Source organism: Homo sapiens, chromosome 3 (assembly GCF_000001405.40).
Source record: "Homo sapiens chromosome 3, GRCh38.p14 Primary Assembly".
Taxonomy (NCBI): domain Eukaryota; kingdom Metazoa; phylum Chordata; class Mammalia; order Primates; family Hominidae; genus Homo; species Homo sapiens.
The window spans coordinates 137,311,891-137,328,701 of NC_000003.12; the positions used below are offsets into that span (position 1 = coordinate 137,311,891).

General features: G+C 38.3%; 1 annotated feature.

Annotated features, from left to right (window-relative positions):
* Positions 7,435–8,634: an enhancer, noted in NCBI's record as "MED14-independent group 3 enhancer chr3:137038167-137039366 (GRCh37/hg19 assembly coordinates)". NCBI's record gives its function as "activates an origin of replication core promoter dependent on BRD2, BRD4, P300/CBP and CDK7 cofactors, and independent of MED14, by STARR-seq in HCT116 cells {active_cell/tissue: HCT116}" and the evidence as "EXISTENCE:reporter gene assay evidence [ECO:0000049][PMID:35650434]".

Consider the following 16,811-nt stretch of genomic DNA (forward strand, 5'->3'; position numbering starts at 1 on the left):
ACTACTACTGCCTATATATTAAATAAATGTTTAATTTGCATTGTGAATTGCATTCTTTGGCATTATAAAATGCCTTTTTTTGGACATGTTTAGTGCTTTGTAGTCTGAATTCTGTCTTGCTTGATATTAACATCAAGTCTAATGTTCTTTTTTTGTTTACATTTGCCTAGTACACATTTACCCATTCTTTTGTTTTCAACCTGCTGGAATTGCTTTGTTTTAGGAGTGCTTCCTATATAAAGCTTGGAGTTAGTTTTTGTTTTGTGATCCAATCTAAAGATGTTTTTAAAAATAAATGACTAAAGTTTATTTACATTAATTGGTAAGATAGATGTTTTTAGTGTTACTTTTATCATTTTATTATATTATTTATATAGACAGTTTAAATTGTTCACTGGATCTTTTATTTGCTTTGCTCTCTCTCCTTATACACATGTGAGTGGGTGTGTGTGTCTCATGCTTTGAGTTCTTCTAGTATATAAAAAGTTGTAGTTTTGTTCTAATTATTATCTTCATAATTATGACTATTTATAATATCCTTAGTTCCAAAATTAAGTGCTTCTCAGCCTGGTTCACATCATGGCATATCTAAAAGATGGTATTTGCATGACACATTTTGGTTAATGGATGAGACATCTGAAGGTGGCTGGCCTGGGTGAGGGTGGGGTTTCTTCTGCGACCTCAAACTCTCCAGTGGCACTAGGGCCTAAGGATATCACTGTCTCAGCACACCTAGGCATTTCAGTGCAACTATTGATAAACTCCACCATTTCTTGATATTGGAAAGATAAAATTTGCTTTTTCCTCTTCCTTCCCCTCTGTGTTGTATTTAGTATCTTAGTGTTTACCTTTGTATTACCACATATGCTTATGTTTCTGTTACTGATCTACCAGCTCTAAACAATATCCTTTGACTTCCAGTCATTACAGATTCAGCAATCAAGATATTTATTACTATTATTTATTATAATACCTCCCACTTCCCCTTCACTGTTCCTTCCCATTTTTCAGGTTTTTTTTTTGGTATCTTTTCTACTTTATTGGGACACAGGTGTCCCATAAAATTAGGGTCCCAATTAGGTATTAGGGTCCCAATTTAGTGACTCTAATTCCCATATTTGTTTTAGTGTTTTCTTGGTTTTGTTATTTGTAAGTTGAATTTGTTTTGCTCGTCTGCTTCTATCATTTTATCTGTAATTTAAAAAACTCTTCCTTTATTTTGAAGTAATGTGGTTTCTTATTCCTTTCTTCTATATCCCACAAGCCCTTTCTACTTCAAAGTGTCATCCACTGATAAACGCCAGCTGGGAGCTTGTTAGAAATGTAGACTCTCAGGCCCTATCCCAGACCTACTGAATTTGAATCTGTGTTTTAACAAAACCCCCAGCTGAGTCACATACATTTTAGGTACGAGAAACATTGTTTTACAGTGTTTTTTGAAGACTCTAACCCTTGGGATCCACGATGGTTTTATTTTTGACTTCTACTTTTTTTTGGGGGAGAGTGGGGTTGTACCAGCTTACCTTTCCTATCCTCTTGTTGTCTGACCATCTTCTCCCTGATTCTTACATTTCTTTCTGTAGCATTCCTTCCTTCATAAAGGCTATTTATAGTTCATGGTGAAAGTCCTGATTACAGCAGTGGATTAAAGATAGCTGCAAATTCTGTGACTCTCCTCTCAATGAGGTGGGATCTATGTCCTCTTGTCTTGAATCTGGGTGACATCTGTGACCGCTTTGCTAAACAGAGTATAGCAGAGAAACTAGCTATGCTGGCTTCAGTACCCAGGCCTTAAGAAACTGTGAGCTTCTATTGTCTTTCTCTTGGAACGTTGAACTCCCATGTAAGAAGGCTGACTATCCTGAGACCACCATGCTGGAGAGATTATGTGAGGAGGCTTTGAGACTATAGAAAGTGAAAAAGCAGCTCAGATGAGCCCAGGCTTCCAGACATTACTGACAAGGTGCCAGGCATGTGAGTGAAGCCTACTTAGATCTCCAGACCAACCAAACCACCAGCTGAAAACTACCAAGTGACCCCAGTTGAAAAGATGTGCAGTGAAAGAATCGCCCAGCTGAGTCCTGTCTGAATTCCTGACCCATAAAAATATAAGATATAAGTAGTTGTTGTTTTAACCCATCAAGCTTTAGGTAATTTGTTAGACAGCAATAGATAATTGAAATATTTACAAATTTCCTCTGTTTTGGGGAACATTTTTTATTATGAGGATTCTTTGTATGTTGCTAAGTTTTGATTCTCTTTTCTGCATTTTTTCCTCCAATATCTGTCTTTTAATGCTGTATCAATTCCCTTTTTTGTTGCTCACCATTGAAATAGTTGAATTTTTCTGGGCCAGCTATCTTTATTATTATTATTTAAGTTCTGGGATACATGTGCAAAACGTGCAGGTTTGTTACATAGGTATCCATGTGCCATGGTGATTTGCTGCACCCATCAACCCATCATCTACTTTAGGTATTTCTCCTAATGCTATCCTTCCCGTAGCCCCCCACCCCTCAACAGGCCTCCCTGTGTGATGCTCCCCTCCCTGTGTCCATGTGTTCTCATTGTTCAACTCCCACTTATGAGTGAGAACATGCGGTGTTTGGTTTTCTATTCCTGTGTTAGTTTACTGAGAATGATGGTTTCCAGCTTCATCCATGTCCCTGCAAAGGACATGAACTCATTCTTTCTTACTGCTGCATAGTATTCCATGGCATATATGTACCACATTTTTTTAATCCAGTCTATCATTGATGGGCATTTGGGTTGGTTCCAAGTCTTTGCTATTGTGAATAGTGCTGCAATAAAGATACATGTGCATGTGTCTTTATAGTGGAATGATTTATAATCCTTTGTGTATATACCCACTAATGGGATTGCAGGGTCAAATGGTATTTCTGGTTCTAGATAGATGAGGAATTGCCACACTGTCTTCCACAATGATTGAACTAATTTACACTCCCAACAGTGTAAAAGCTTTCCTATTTCTCCACATCCTCTCCAGCATCTGTTGTTTCCTGACTTTTTAATGATCACCATTCTAACTGGTGTGAGATAGCTCATTGTGGTTTTGATTTGCATTTCTCTAATGACCAGTGATGATGAACTTTTTTTCATATGTTTTTTGGCCGCATAAATGTCTTCTTTTGAGAAGTGTCTGTTCGTATTCTTTGCCCACTTTTTGATGGGTTTTTTTTTCTTGTAAATTTGTTTAAGTTCCTTGTAGATTCTGGATATTAGCCCTTTGTCGGGTGGATAGATTGCAAAATTTTTCTCCCATTTTGTAGGATGCTTGTTCACTCTGAGGATAGTTTCTTTTGTGGTGAAGAAGCTCTTTAGTTTAATTACATCCCATTTATCAACTTTGGCTTTTGTTGCAATTGCTTTTGATGTTTCAGTCATGAAGTTCTTGCCCATGCCTATGTCCTGAAAGGTATTGCCTAGGTTTTCTTCTAGGGTTTTTATGGTTTTAGGTCTTACGTTTAAGTCTTTAACCCATCTTGAGTTAATTTTTGTATAAGGTGTAAGGAAGAGATCTGGTTTCAGTTTTCTGCATATGGCTAGCCAGTTTTCCCAGCACCATTTATTAAATAGGGAATCCTTTCCCCATTGCTTGTTTTCATCAGGTTTGTCAAAGATCAGATGGTTGGAGATGTGTGGCATTATTTCTGAGGCCTCTGTTCTGCTCCATTGGTCTATGTATCTGTTTTGGTACCAGTACTATGCTATTTTGGTTACTGTAGCCTTGTAGTATAGTTTGAAGTCATGCCTCTAGCTTTGTTCTTTTTACTTAGGATTTTTCTTGGCTATACAGGCTCTTTTTTGGTTCCACATGAAATTTAAAGTAGATTTTTCTAATTCTGTGAAGAAAGTCAGTGGTAGCTTGATGGGGATAGCATTGGATCTATAAATTACTTTGGGCAATATGGACATTTTCACGATATTGATTCTTCCTATCTATGAGCACAGAATGTTTTTCCACTTGTTTGTGTCCTCTCTTATTTCCTTGAGCAGTGGTTTGTAGTTCTTGAAGAGGTCCTTCACGTCCCTTGTAAGTTGTTTTCCTAGGTATTTTATTCTCTTTTTAGCAATTGCAAATGAAAGTTCACTCAGGATTTGGCTCTCTGTTTGTCTATTATTGGTGTATAGGAATGCTTGTGATTTTTGCACATTGATTTTGTATCCTGAGACTTTGCTAAATTTGAGTATCAGCTTAAGGAGATTTTGGACTCAGATGATGGGGTTTTCTAAATATACAATCATGTCATCTGCAAACAGAGACAACTTGACTTCCTCTCTTCCTATTTGCGTACCCTTTATTTCTTTCTCTTGCCTTATTGCCCTGGCCAGAACTTCCAATATTATGTTTAAAAGGAGTAGTGAGAATGGGCATCCTTGTCTTGTGCCGATTTTCAAAGCAATGCTTGCAGCTTTTGCCCATTCAGTATGATATTGGCTGTTGGTTTGTCAAAATACCGTTCATTATTTTTAGATACATTGCTTCAATACCTAGTTTATTGAGAGTTTTTAGCATGAAGCATTGTTGAATTTTGTCGAAGGCCTTTTCTGCATCTATTGAGATAATCATGTGGTTTTCGTCATTGGTTCTGTTTATGTGATGGATTACATTTATTGATTTGTGTATGCTGAACCACCCTTGCATCCCAGGGATGAAGCCAACTTGATTGTGGTGGATAAGCTTTTTGATGTGCTGCTGGATTTGGTTTGCCAGTATTTTATTGAGGATTTTCACATCGATGTTCATCAGGATGTGAAATTTTGTTTTTTTTTGTTGTGTCTGCCAGTTTTGGTATCAGGATGATGTTGGCCTCATAAAATGAGTTAGGGAGGAGTCCCTCTTTTTCTGTTATTTGGAACAGAAATATTTCTGTTATTTGGAACAGTTTCAGAAGGAATGGTAGCAGCTCCTCTTTGTACCTCTGGTAGAATTTGGCTGTGAATCTGTCTGGTCCTGGGCTTTTTTTGGTTGGTAGGCTATTAATTACTGCCTCAATTTCAGAACTTGTTATTGGTCTATTCAGGGATTTGACCTCTTCCTGGTTTATTCTTGGTAGGGTGTGGGTGTCCAGGAATTTATCCATTTCTTCTAGATTTTCTAGTTTATTTTTGTAGATGTGTTTATAGTATTCTCTGATGGTAGTTTGTATTTCTGTGGGATTGGTGGTGATCTCCCCTTTATCATTTTTTTATTGAGTCTTTTTGATTCTTCCCTCTTTTCTTCTTTATTAGTCTTGCTAGTGGTCTATCTATTTTGCTAATCTTTTTGAAAAACCAGCTCATGGATTCATTGATTTTTTGAAGGGTTTTTCATGTCTCTATCTCCTTCAGTTCTGCTCTGATCTTAGTTATTTCTTGTCTTCTGCTAGCTTTTGAATTTGTTTGCTCTTGCTTTTCTAGTTCTTTTAATTGTGATGTTAGGGTGTTGATTTTAGATCTTTCCTGCTTTCTCCTGTGGGCATTTAGTGCTATAAATTTCCCTCGAAACGCTGCTTTAGCTGGGTCCCAGAGATTCTGGTATGTTGTATCTTTGTTCTCGTTGGTTTAAAAGAACTTATTTATTTCTGCCTTAATTTCGTTATTTACCTAGTAGTCATTTGGGAGCAGATTGTTCAGTTTCCATATAGTTGTGCGATTTTGAGTGAGTTTCTTTATCCTGAGTTGTAATTTGATTGCACTGTGGTCTGAGAGAATATTTGTTATGATTTCCATTCTTTTGCATTTGCTGAGTAGTGTTTTACTTCCAATTATGTGGTCAATTTTAGAATAAGTGCGATGTGGTGCTGAGAAGAATGTATATTCTATTGATTTGGGGTGGAGAGCTCTGTAGATGTCTGTTAGGCCTGCTTGTTGCAGAGCTGAGTTCAGGTCCTGGATATCCTTGTTAACCTTCTATCTCATTGATCTGTCTAATATTGACAGTGGGGTGTTAAAGTCTCCCACTGTGTGGAAAATTCTAAGTTGAATCTTCTTTTCTTTTAAGAATGTTGAATATTGGCCCCACTCTCTTCTGGCTTGTATGGTTTCTGCAGAGAGATCCACTGTTAGTGTGATGGGCTTCCCTTTGTGGGTAACCCGACCTTTCTGTCTGGCTGCCCTTAAAATTTTTTTCCTCATTTCAACCTTGGTGAATCTGACAATTATGTGTCTTGGGGTTGCTCTTCTCGGGGAGCATCTTTGTGGTGTTCTCTGTATTTCCTGAATTTGAATGTTGGCCTGTCTTGCTAGGTTGGCATACTTCTCCTGGATAATATCCTGAAGAGTGTTTTCCAACTTGGTTCCATTCTCCCCATCACTTTCAGGTACAACAATCAATCATATGTAGGTTTGGTTTTTTCACATAATCCCATATTTCTTGGAGGCTTTGTTCATTAATTTTCATTTTTTTTCTCTAATCTTGTCTTCATGCTTTATTTCATTAAGTTGATCTTCAATCTGTGATATCCTTTCTTCCACTTGATTGATTTGACTACTGATACCTCTGTATGCTTTCCCGTGCTGTGTTTTTCAGCTTTACCAGGTCAATTATGTTCTTCTCTAAACTAGTTATTCTAGTTAGCAATTCCTCTAACCTTTTTTCAAGGTTCTTAGCTTTCTTGCATTGGGTTAGAACATGCTCCTTTAGCTCGGAGGAGTTTGTTATTACCCACCTTCTGAAGCCTAGTTCTGTTAGTTTGTGAAACTCATTCTCCATCCAGTTTTGTTCCCTTGCTGGCGAGGAATTGTGATCCTTTGGAGGAGAGGAGGCATTCTGGTTTTTGGAATTTTCTGCTTTTTTGCACCTTTTTTTCCCTCATGTTCATGGATTTATCTACCTTTGGTCTTTGATGTTGGTGACCTTCATATGCGGTTTATGTGTGGATGGATGTCCTTTTTGTTGATGTTGATGCTATTCTTTTCTGTTTGTTAGTTTTCCTTCTAACAGTCAGGCCCCCTGCTTCAGTTCTGCTGGAGTTTGCTGGAGGTCCACTCCACAGCCTGTTTGCCTGGGTATCACCAGCGGAGGCTGCAGAACAACAAAGATTGCTGCCTGCTCCTTTGTCTGGAAGCTTTGTTTCAGAGGGGCACCTGCCAGATGCCAGCCAGAGCTCTCCTGTATGAAGTGTCTGTCGATCTCTGCTGGGAGATATCTCCCAGAGGAGGCATGGGGGTCAGGGACCCACTTAAGGAGGCAGTCTGTACCTTAGCAGAGCTCAAGCACTGTGCTGGGAGATCCGCTGCTCTCTTCAGAGCTGGCAGGCAGGAACGTTTAAGTCTGTTGAAGCTGCATCCACAGCCGCCACTTCCCCTAGGTGCTCTGTCTCCGGGAGATTGGAGTTTTATCTATAAGCCCCTGACTGGGGCTGCTGCCTTTCTTTCAGAGATGCCCCACCGAGAGAGGAGGAATCTAGAGAGGCAGTGTGGCTACAGAGGTTTTGCTGAGTTGCAGTAGGCTCCACCCAGTTCGAACTTCCTATCGGCTTTGTTTACACTGTGAGGGGAAAACCACCTACTCAAGCCTCAGTAACTGCCGACACCCCTCCCCCCACCAAGCTCAAGCGTCCCAGGTCGACTTCAAACTGCTGTGCTGGCAGCGAGAATTTCAAGCCAACGGACCTTAGTTTGACGGGCTTCTTGGGGGTGGTATCCACTGAGCTAGACCACTTGGCTTCCTGGCTTCAGCCCCCTTTCCAGGAGAGTGAAGGGTTCTGTCTCGCTGGCATTCCAGGTACCACTGGGATGAAAAAAAACTCCTGCAGCTAGCTCGGTGTCTGCCCAAATGGCTGCTCATTTTTGTGCTTGAAACCCAGGGCCCTGGTGGTGTAGGCACCTGAGGGAATCTCCTAGTCTGTGGGTTGCAAAGATCGTGGGAAAAGCATAGTATCTGGGTGAGATAGCACCATCCCTCACAGCACAGTCTCTCACGACTTCTCTTGGCTAGGGGAGGGAGTTCCTTGACCCCTTGTGCTTCCCAGGTGAGGCAACGCCCACCCTGCTTCTGCTCGCCCTCTGTGGGCTGCACTCACTGTCTAATCAGTCCCAGTGAGATGAGTCAGGTACCTCAGTTGGAAATGCAGAAATCACTCACCTTCTGCCTTGATCTTGCTGGGAGCCGCAGACCAGAGATGTTCCTGTTGGGCCATCTTGTCCAGGAATCCATCTTAACTATTTCTAAGTGTACTATTCAGTAGTATTGAGATATAGCTTTTATTTTCTTTAGCTTGCATTTAAAGTTGTATGTTAATAACAATATATATTTGCTTTTTTTTGCTAGATACAGTATTGATTGATTTACATGGATTATATCATTTAGCACAATAATTTTATAAGTTAAGAACTATTATTTCATCCTGTTCAAGAAGTATAGATCTGAGTCTTGGCTAACTAACTAGTTTAATATTACACAGTTAGTAAATAGGAGGACTGAGGTTCAATGTGTTTAAATTGAACCCAGATGGACTGTGGAACTCATCTTCTTAAATATTCTTTTGAACCATATTTTTATTCTGTTTTTGAAAATAACAAATATGCTAATACAGATAAGATATTCACTATGTTTTCTAGTGTGTATGTAAAATGGGGACATTATAGATGCCTGATTTGTACTTTCAGTGATGGAGAAGTAATCAAAGCAATGAACAGAAACTTAATATGGAAAGGTATTTGCTTACTCCTGCTAAATGTGTTTTCATAAGGTGAGTGGGCATAGAACAGGATTTCTCAACCTTGTCTCTATTGATATTTTGGGCTGGATAATTTTGAGAGGCTGACCTGTGTGTGGTAGGATGTTTACTGGCATCCGTGGGTTTCCACTAGCTGGCAGGAGCACTGCTCCAGTTGAAACGAACGAACAAAAATACCTTCAGACGTTGCCAAATGTCCCTGGGAGGCAAAATCTCTTCTCATTGAGAACCACTAGCCTAGAATACAAAAATATTTCATTATTTATATCCGAACAAGTCATCTGAATGTTCTATGGTTTAAAAAATATATATTGTGTGCATAATATGTGCCAGGCACCATTTTTCTAAGTGCTTTGCAGGTACTAATTCATTTAACTCCCCAAATAACAACCTCATAATGTAGTTATTATGTAGTGGGTACATGGGAAAGAGAAATTAGAAACCCTACTAGTCTGATGGAATAAACCCTAGTTCCTATCCACAATGCTTATCCACCTCCTCTTTGGCTCTGCTAGTGATTTCCAATTGCAAGTCCTTGATAAATTTTCAGTAATATGTGACAATTTGAGAAAAGTAATTAAATTATGATTTTTTTCCTTAAAGAAAGAAACTTACGTACTAGATTTAATAGAAAAAGATATAATAGAATAAGTGAGTTGGCTGCTTATGGTTCTGCACCATTCATCCTTCCAGAACAATGGCTAGAGGAAGAAGTGTTCAGTTTCTGTTGGTTAGAGAACTTACAAATGTCAGTCCCCCAGCTATAGCTCTAAGATAATTTTTCCCCTAGATGCAATTTTATGGTTTATTAAAAAGGAAAGTTTCCAGTCAAAATGACTACTTCTCACCCATTGGCTTATCAAAGCTACTGTTGTAGACACATCTTCATTTGATAGGAAGAGAAGAGGAAGTCAAGTCTACTGGCTGGACTTCAGGCATCAGACTATGTTAAATTTTCTTCGTATTTTTAAAAAAATTTTTATTATGAAAATGTTAAGCAACTACAAATGTAAAGAGAATAGTTGAATAAACCTTTTGCCCACCATTTATTATTAATATATACTTTAATTTATACCTCCACTCAAACCAGATTTTTTTTGAGGCAAACATCATCATATTATTTCACTTGTAGTATTTTATTATGTATCTCTAAATCTAAAGGATAAAAAATAATTTTTGAACTTAACTATAAAGCCATGATCACATCTAAATTTTAGAAAAACTTGATATCATTAAATATCTAGACAATGATGACATTACTCTGATTGACATACAATTATGACATATCTATTATTTTTATAGTGCTTGAATTGAATCCAAATAAGAAGTATGTGTTGTTGTTGGCTGATTTGCTTTTAAAATATCTTTCTTATAGTAATTTTTTTGAGGTAAAATTTATATCTTGTTAAGTCTCTTTTGACTTAAAGGTTCTCCTTCCATTTTTTATCTGCAATTTTTATTCTTTTACTGAAGAAAGGAGCCATTTCTCTTGTAGAATTTCCAATACTCTAATATCTGATTTTCCTGTAGATTAGCATTTTGCTGTAGAGGCTTGTTTCAAGTTCCTTTCAAAAATGTTTATTTATTTATTTATTTTTCGCAAGAATACCTTGTGGGTGGTGGTGTGTTCTTCCCTGGGGAGGCACATAATTTCTGGTTAGTGGCACTGATGATCACTTACCAGATCCATCAATTCATTAGGAGTTACAAAACTGATAATTTAATTATGTTAAATTATGTTATTTCTTCTTCTTTTTTTAACTGGAATGTCTATCAAAATAAACTTCCTTTCCTCAACTGCTTTGTTACCCTGAGGTACAGGTTACATTCTACTACCATTTTCAAAACAATCAGTTGGTTTCCTAGCATCTTCTGAAAGTATTCATTGAGTTGTGTAGTTTTTTAAAAAGTTTTACTATGAATATGAATCATATAAGTACATATATTTGATATGTTTCACCTATTGTGTGCATGCTCAAATTGTCCCAGTTTGGGCCAGTGGGAGTCTCTTCAGTTTGACTCAGGAGACCCTTGAGAATGGTCCTGAAAAATTGTGATAGTTTCCTTGCTGTCTGGTTTGACAAACTGCTTTAAGGTCACATTTGTACATTTCCTGCCTGCATTAGTCTGTTTTCACACTACCATAAAGAACTACCTGAGACTGGGTAATTTATGAAGAAGAGAGGTTTAATTGACTCACAGTTCCGTAGGCTTAACAGGACATGTGACTGGAAGGCCTCAGAAAACTTACAATCATGGTGGAAGGTGAAGGGGAAGCAAGCCTTTTCCTCACATAACAGCAGGAGAAAGAGAGCAAAGGGGGAAGTGCCACACACTTTTAAACCATCAGATTTCCTGAGAACTCATTCACTATCATGAGAACAGCATGGAGGAAATCTGCCCCAATGATCTAATCACCTCCCACCAGGTCCCTCCCCCAACATTGGGAACTGCAATTCAACATGAGATTTGGGTGGGGAGACAGAGCCAAACCACATCACTGGCCCAGACCTGAAATTAACTATCTCCTTAAGGATCCTTGGTTCCTTTTGGTGGAAAATGACTTTTAGATAACATAGTTTAGGTATTAGTGGTGTTTATTGCTACTGAGTTACTATTATTTGGGGGCTTTTCAATGTCGTAAGTTAGAAAATATGTGCTACTTTAAAAGATAAAATACATCATAAGTTCATATTAGTATTTCCTATTCAAATGCAGAACTTTCAGCCCTACAGATTTTTTACTTTAGTGATCCTACATTTGTATTTCCTTTCAACAATACTGAAAATCCTGGTTCTCAGCAATGCTGGTATAATCATTCATTTAAATTTTCCCATAATACTACACAACTGTCTCATATTAATAATATTAGCATTATTACCAATAATATGCTTCTTAAAACCTATGTAAGTTTTTTCCAGAGTTTTTTTTTTCTGTTCTTAGGCTTTATCCCTGAAGGGATATACAGTCAAATTACTGTATTTTCATATTATTTGGAATAACTTTTCTTAGTCATTATGCCAAATACTTCGAATTTCTTTATTTCCTTAATTTTATCTTATAGTTAGGTAAAATATTTGCATGGTTTCAACGCTAAATTTGCAAAACAAGTTATATTCAAGGGAGTTCAGCTTCAATCCTTGTCCACCACCCAATTCTCTCCCCTCTTATATAGCTAACCATTAAGAAAGTTATGATTGGCTGGCTGTGGTGGCTCACGCCTGTAATCCCAGCACTTTGGGAGGCCGAGGTGGGTGGATTACCTGAGGTCGAGAGTTTGAGACCAGCCTGACCAACATGGAGAAACACTGTCTCTACTAAAAATGCAAAATTAGCCAGGCATGGTGGTGCATGCCTGTAATCCCAGCTACTTGGGAGCCTGAGGCAGGAGAATTGAATTCTTGAACCTGGGAGATGGAGGTTGCGGTGAGCCGAGATTGCACCATTGTACTCCAGCCTGGGTGACAAAGCAAGACTCCGTCTCAAAAAAAAAGTTATGATTTATCCTTCTTTGCATTTTAATATCAGCAAACATGTATATTTGTATCCCTTCACTTATATAAATGGTAGCCATAATAAATGGTGTAAATAGTAGCCATTATAAATACTTACTCCCATCTTTTTTCAATTAACAATATATCTTGAGAGGGTCTCCATAGTATATTAGTATATAGTATATTAAAACATTCCCCATTCCTTTTTATGGCTGCATAGTACTCCATTGCATGGATGTACCATAGCTTACTCAATAAATTTTCCACTGATGGGATTTGGGCTATTTCTAGTCTTTCCCCATTCCGCATAATGTTGCGACTAAAAGCTTTGTACATACATCTTTTAATTTATTTTGTTAGCATGGTTTTGAACATGTATCTTTTATTTTTGCCACTATATTTTTATTTATAAATATCACTTAAAAATTCTTTAGTGAGGATCTAGGAAGGATAAATTCTTTCATTTTCTTCTTTATTTGAAAATACATTTTTTTGTCTTTACTTTAAATGATAGTTTGGGCAAAAAGTTCCAAATTAATGATGATTTTTCTCCCAGCACATTGAAGACAGTATTTCATTAGCCTCTATTGTTGCTATTGAGTAGTTTGCTGTTAAAATATATCTATTCCTTTATAGGTAACCTCTTTTTTCTTTCTGATTGATTGCTTTAAGATATTTTTTTAGTTTCAGGTTTACTATAGTTTCATTAAGGTGTGCCTGGAATGGATATATTTTCATTTACCTTGTTTGGGATTTATTGTGATACCTTAATCTGAAGAGTCTCATCTTTAATCAATTCTGGAAAAGTTCTTAGCCATTTTCCCCCTATATTTCCTCTCCTCCACTCTACCTCCTTTACCCTCCCACCTTTTCCTCTCAGTGCTCTTATCAGGTGCATTTGTACTTTCTTATTCTGCTCTCCATGTTCCTTAATTTCTCTTTAATAAGTTTTAAAAATTTATTTTTAGTCTCTCTTTAGCAGGCTTAGCAATTTACTGCAATATGTATTCCTGTTTACATTTTGCAAAAAATGCATTCATGTTTTTGTTAAGCTTCTTTTATAGTGCAAAGTAATTGCGTGTGTAATAGATGTTCACTGGGACTTGTGTTTGCCCTCAGATGGTCATGAAAGGATAAAAATTGAGAATAAGGAGGCATCAAGTACACGACATTCTAAAGACAGCCCCTAGCAATTGGTTTATTAAAGAATAGTCTAACGGACTCTGCTACGTCCAGACATACCCAGGAGTTTCACTATGCAACCAGAATGTAAAGGGGAAGAAGGAAATGACAGGGGCCATGAGTCATCAGTGTAGTAGAAAGTCCTTCCCTGCCCCTTCAAAACCAGGGGATGGGGGAAGCACCAAGTATCATTGGCACCCCATTCCTCAGTTGGGTAGCAGATATGATGTGTCTCTGTGCCTAGCTGAGCAGCAGGTAAAGAGAACCTGAAGACCTGAGAATGATGGCAGAATGGAGAAGCATGGGGGCTTCAGGGAGGAGCTGGGAGCCCTCTCCACTATTTGGTGGGTCAAATTCACGTGGATCAAGTAGACACTGCGCAAAATATCCTTGACTGAATATTTTGCCAGTTGTCACCTACAAGGGCTGGCCACTGGGTGAGGAGATTGCAGCGGCAAGAGGCTGTGGAGTGAACCTGCCAGACAGAAGCTAAACTGAGTGTTGCCATCAGCTCTCCAACAGAGGGGAAGGAGCCCCAAAGGGTGTTCTGGAGAACTCACAAAGGTGTCCAATTATGCTTTACCTTTCTGTTCCTCTCCAGAATCCTTTGTTTCTTTTGCTTTGGTTTTGATGTTACAGCATTAGGGTAGACCTCTTTTCTTTGTTTTTTTCTTGTGGGTTAATATATTTATTGTTGTTGGTCTTTACTATTCTGTATTCGTTTTGTTTGCCCTATTAATCTCAATACTGACCTTTTAACCTCATGAGGCTGTATTTTGACATACAGCTCCCTTGTGTTTTACCTGACCCTTCATAGTTCAATGAGAGTCTATTCTGGTCCATCCAGCATTTGTGCCTGGTTGCCTTCTCTGTACCAAGTGCCCTGTCAACACCCTTTTTTTCTGTGCTCTGTGTTTGTGGCCTTTGCAGTTGTGGCCACTGTTTGTCCTCCTGCTCTTCATGACCAGCCCTCACATGTGCTTCATGCTCCAATGAAGGGGCGACTCATACAATCAGGTAAGGAGAGAGAGATTTTTCCACCGTGATTTATACTTTCTGAAAATTGAGCTATCATCAGTGACACTGTTGAACATGCAAAAGAAAGTGGCACCTCTAGTCACATGAAAGTTCAGTCCTTGGGAGCATCCAAAAGTGGTGACAGGACCATCAGGATATCAAAATGAAGTTCCAGCAACATTAGGGGTCTCTGGGCAACATACATGAATTTAAAAGAAAGAAACATTCTGTAGTCATGGGAAATCCTGCTAATTAGAACTGAGTTTTATAAAAGGTCATGGTGTGAAGCCAAAGAAATAACTTTGAACCTTGATATTATGCCCATATTTTTTGTGCTTCTTTCTATAGACAGAGCTTATTAGGCAGGGAGGATGATATGCTCTCCTCTCCTATGGTCTTACTGCATCCCAAAGTACAGATAAATGCCACCAACCATGATGTAGCACAACAAACAGGAGGATTAGACTTCGCAGTCAGAAAGGCTTGGGTTTGAATCTTAAAAACATTGCTGTTTACTTGTTGTATGGCCTTGGGCAAGCTACTCATTCTTTTTGAGCTTTAATTTCCTCATAATAATACTCATCTTACGGAGTTGTGGTAAGAATTAAAGGTGAATTACGTACAGAAACACTTGGCACCTTGCCTATAGTATTGTATTAACCCACAAGGCTGGCTTCTCTTTGGACCATGCTGACAAAACCCACATTGGAAGGAACTTTGATTTGTATTTATCTTCTCTTTGCTTTTTTGCTTGATTCCATTAACCAGAGAGGAAGTCATACCAGTTAAATTGCTGGAGAAAGGTGTGATGGCTGAATTTAATAAATATTGAAAATATAAATTTAAACAGAAGTTGCAAGAATTTTCTGGGTAAACAGTGAATCATGGGAGTGGATGGAACTTTCATATTTTAACTGGGTTTCCAGGTTATGTGCCCTCTTTTTATTGTCTTACCTTAGGCTGACCCCATTTGATGACAGCACTAAGAATTGATGATTTCTTTATCCCCAGAGCAGTTGAAAACAGAGGGGGAAGGAGTAAATCTCTAGATTAGAATTTTTAAGGTTGGGGACCATCAGCCAATGGTTGTCTTCCTGGGTGGAGGAATATGAAACTTTGAGTTCCCTTCCCCCTTGCTCATAAAACCCACCAGCTCAGAACCTTGGCAATCTCACTATTTTCCCTTGCTTTCTGCAGTCAAAGTCTGAATGCAGCTTAGAGTGGAAATGTTGAAATAAAGAACATGGCTTTAGAGTGAGACAGACCTGGACTTGGCCCTGGTAAATGGTCAGTGCCCTGTCAATCGTGTCCATTATTACTTTTACTCCTAATTCAGCTTTTGTACTTCAGATACATTGATCCTTAATCCTCCCTTGAATGTTCTGTATAGAGAAGCCTTTAAGTGATTAGTTTTGGATTATTAGCTTTTATATTTTGCGTTTTGAATTCTCTCCATGTAGCCAACTTACGAGTGCTAATTGCAGTATTCTTACTACAGAAGACATTTCTTAGATATAGAGCCTATTCCAAAGCATTCAAGGAAGATTGATAGGTCATTCTGGAATGGGCTCCATTCTACTTCCCCAATTTATTTTTTTTTTTCTCAATCTGTTCCATAATCTGTCACTTTAAAAACTCGCACTTTAGTAGCAGGATTTTATGCAACAAATCCCCTTTCCCCCAATATATTCCACAATTTGGCCAGGAATCCTTACAGGAAGAGGTCAGAGGACTCTGATGCCTGGTTTAGAATATGTACATATTAGTGCTTCTTTTCTTCTTGTCTGTTGACAAGAGCTTTGCTACCCTACAGCTAATGACTTCTTTAGGATTTTTGCCAGCTTTTGGGTTGTTTCATTTTGGCATTTTCCTTGGCTCCAGCTTTTTTTCTCCCCTCTTCTTAACATGTTTTGTTCTAGTAGACACCCTCCTTTTCTGGCTATATCTTAAGTCATTCTTCCTTTGGGATGAGATGTCATTACAAGCCCAATAATAAGTTTAAAGATGACGATAATAGTAATAGATAAGGTTTACTGAGTATTCACCATGTACTAGACACTACTGTAACCACTTTTAATATATGAACACATTTAAACCTCACAACTGCCCTATGAAATAGCTACAACTTTTATCTCCATTTTACAGGTGGGGAAACTGCTGCAAGAGAGGTTCAGTCCCTTGTGCCGGGCAGCACAGCAGCAGTGAGTAGACAGCAGTTAGCTTGGCTTCAGGTGTGCCTGAACATTCAGGAGCTGACTGTGGAGAGATTTTCTCTGTAGGCACCTCTAGGCTCTGGACACTGATGTCCAGGATCCTGTCTTTGATGGTACTGAATAAGGTGCTGTCATCATCAGCAAGGGTACAACAGAATAATGTTTCCTACTAAATTAACAAAATGCTGGAATAATGTGTAGTTTCTGTGAATTTCTTTAGA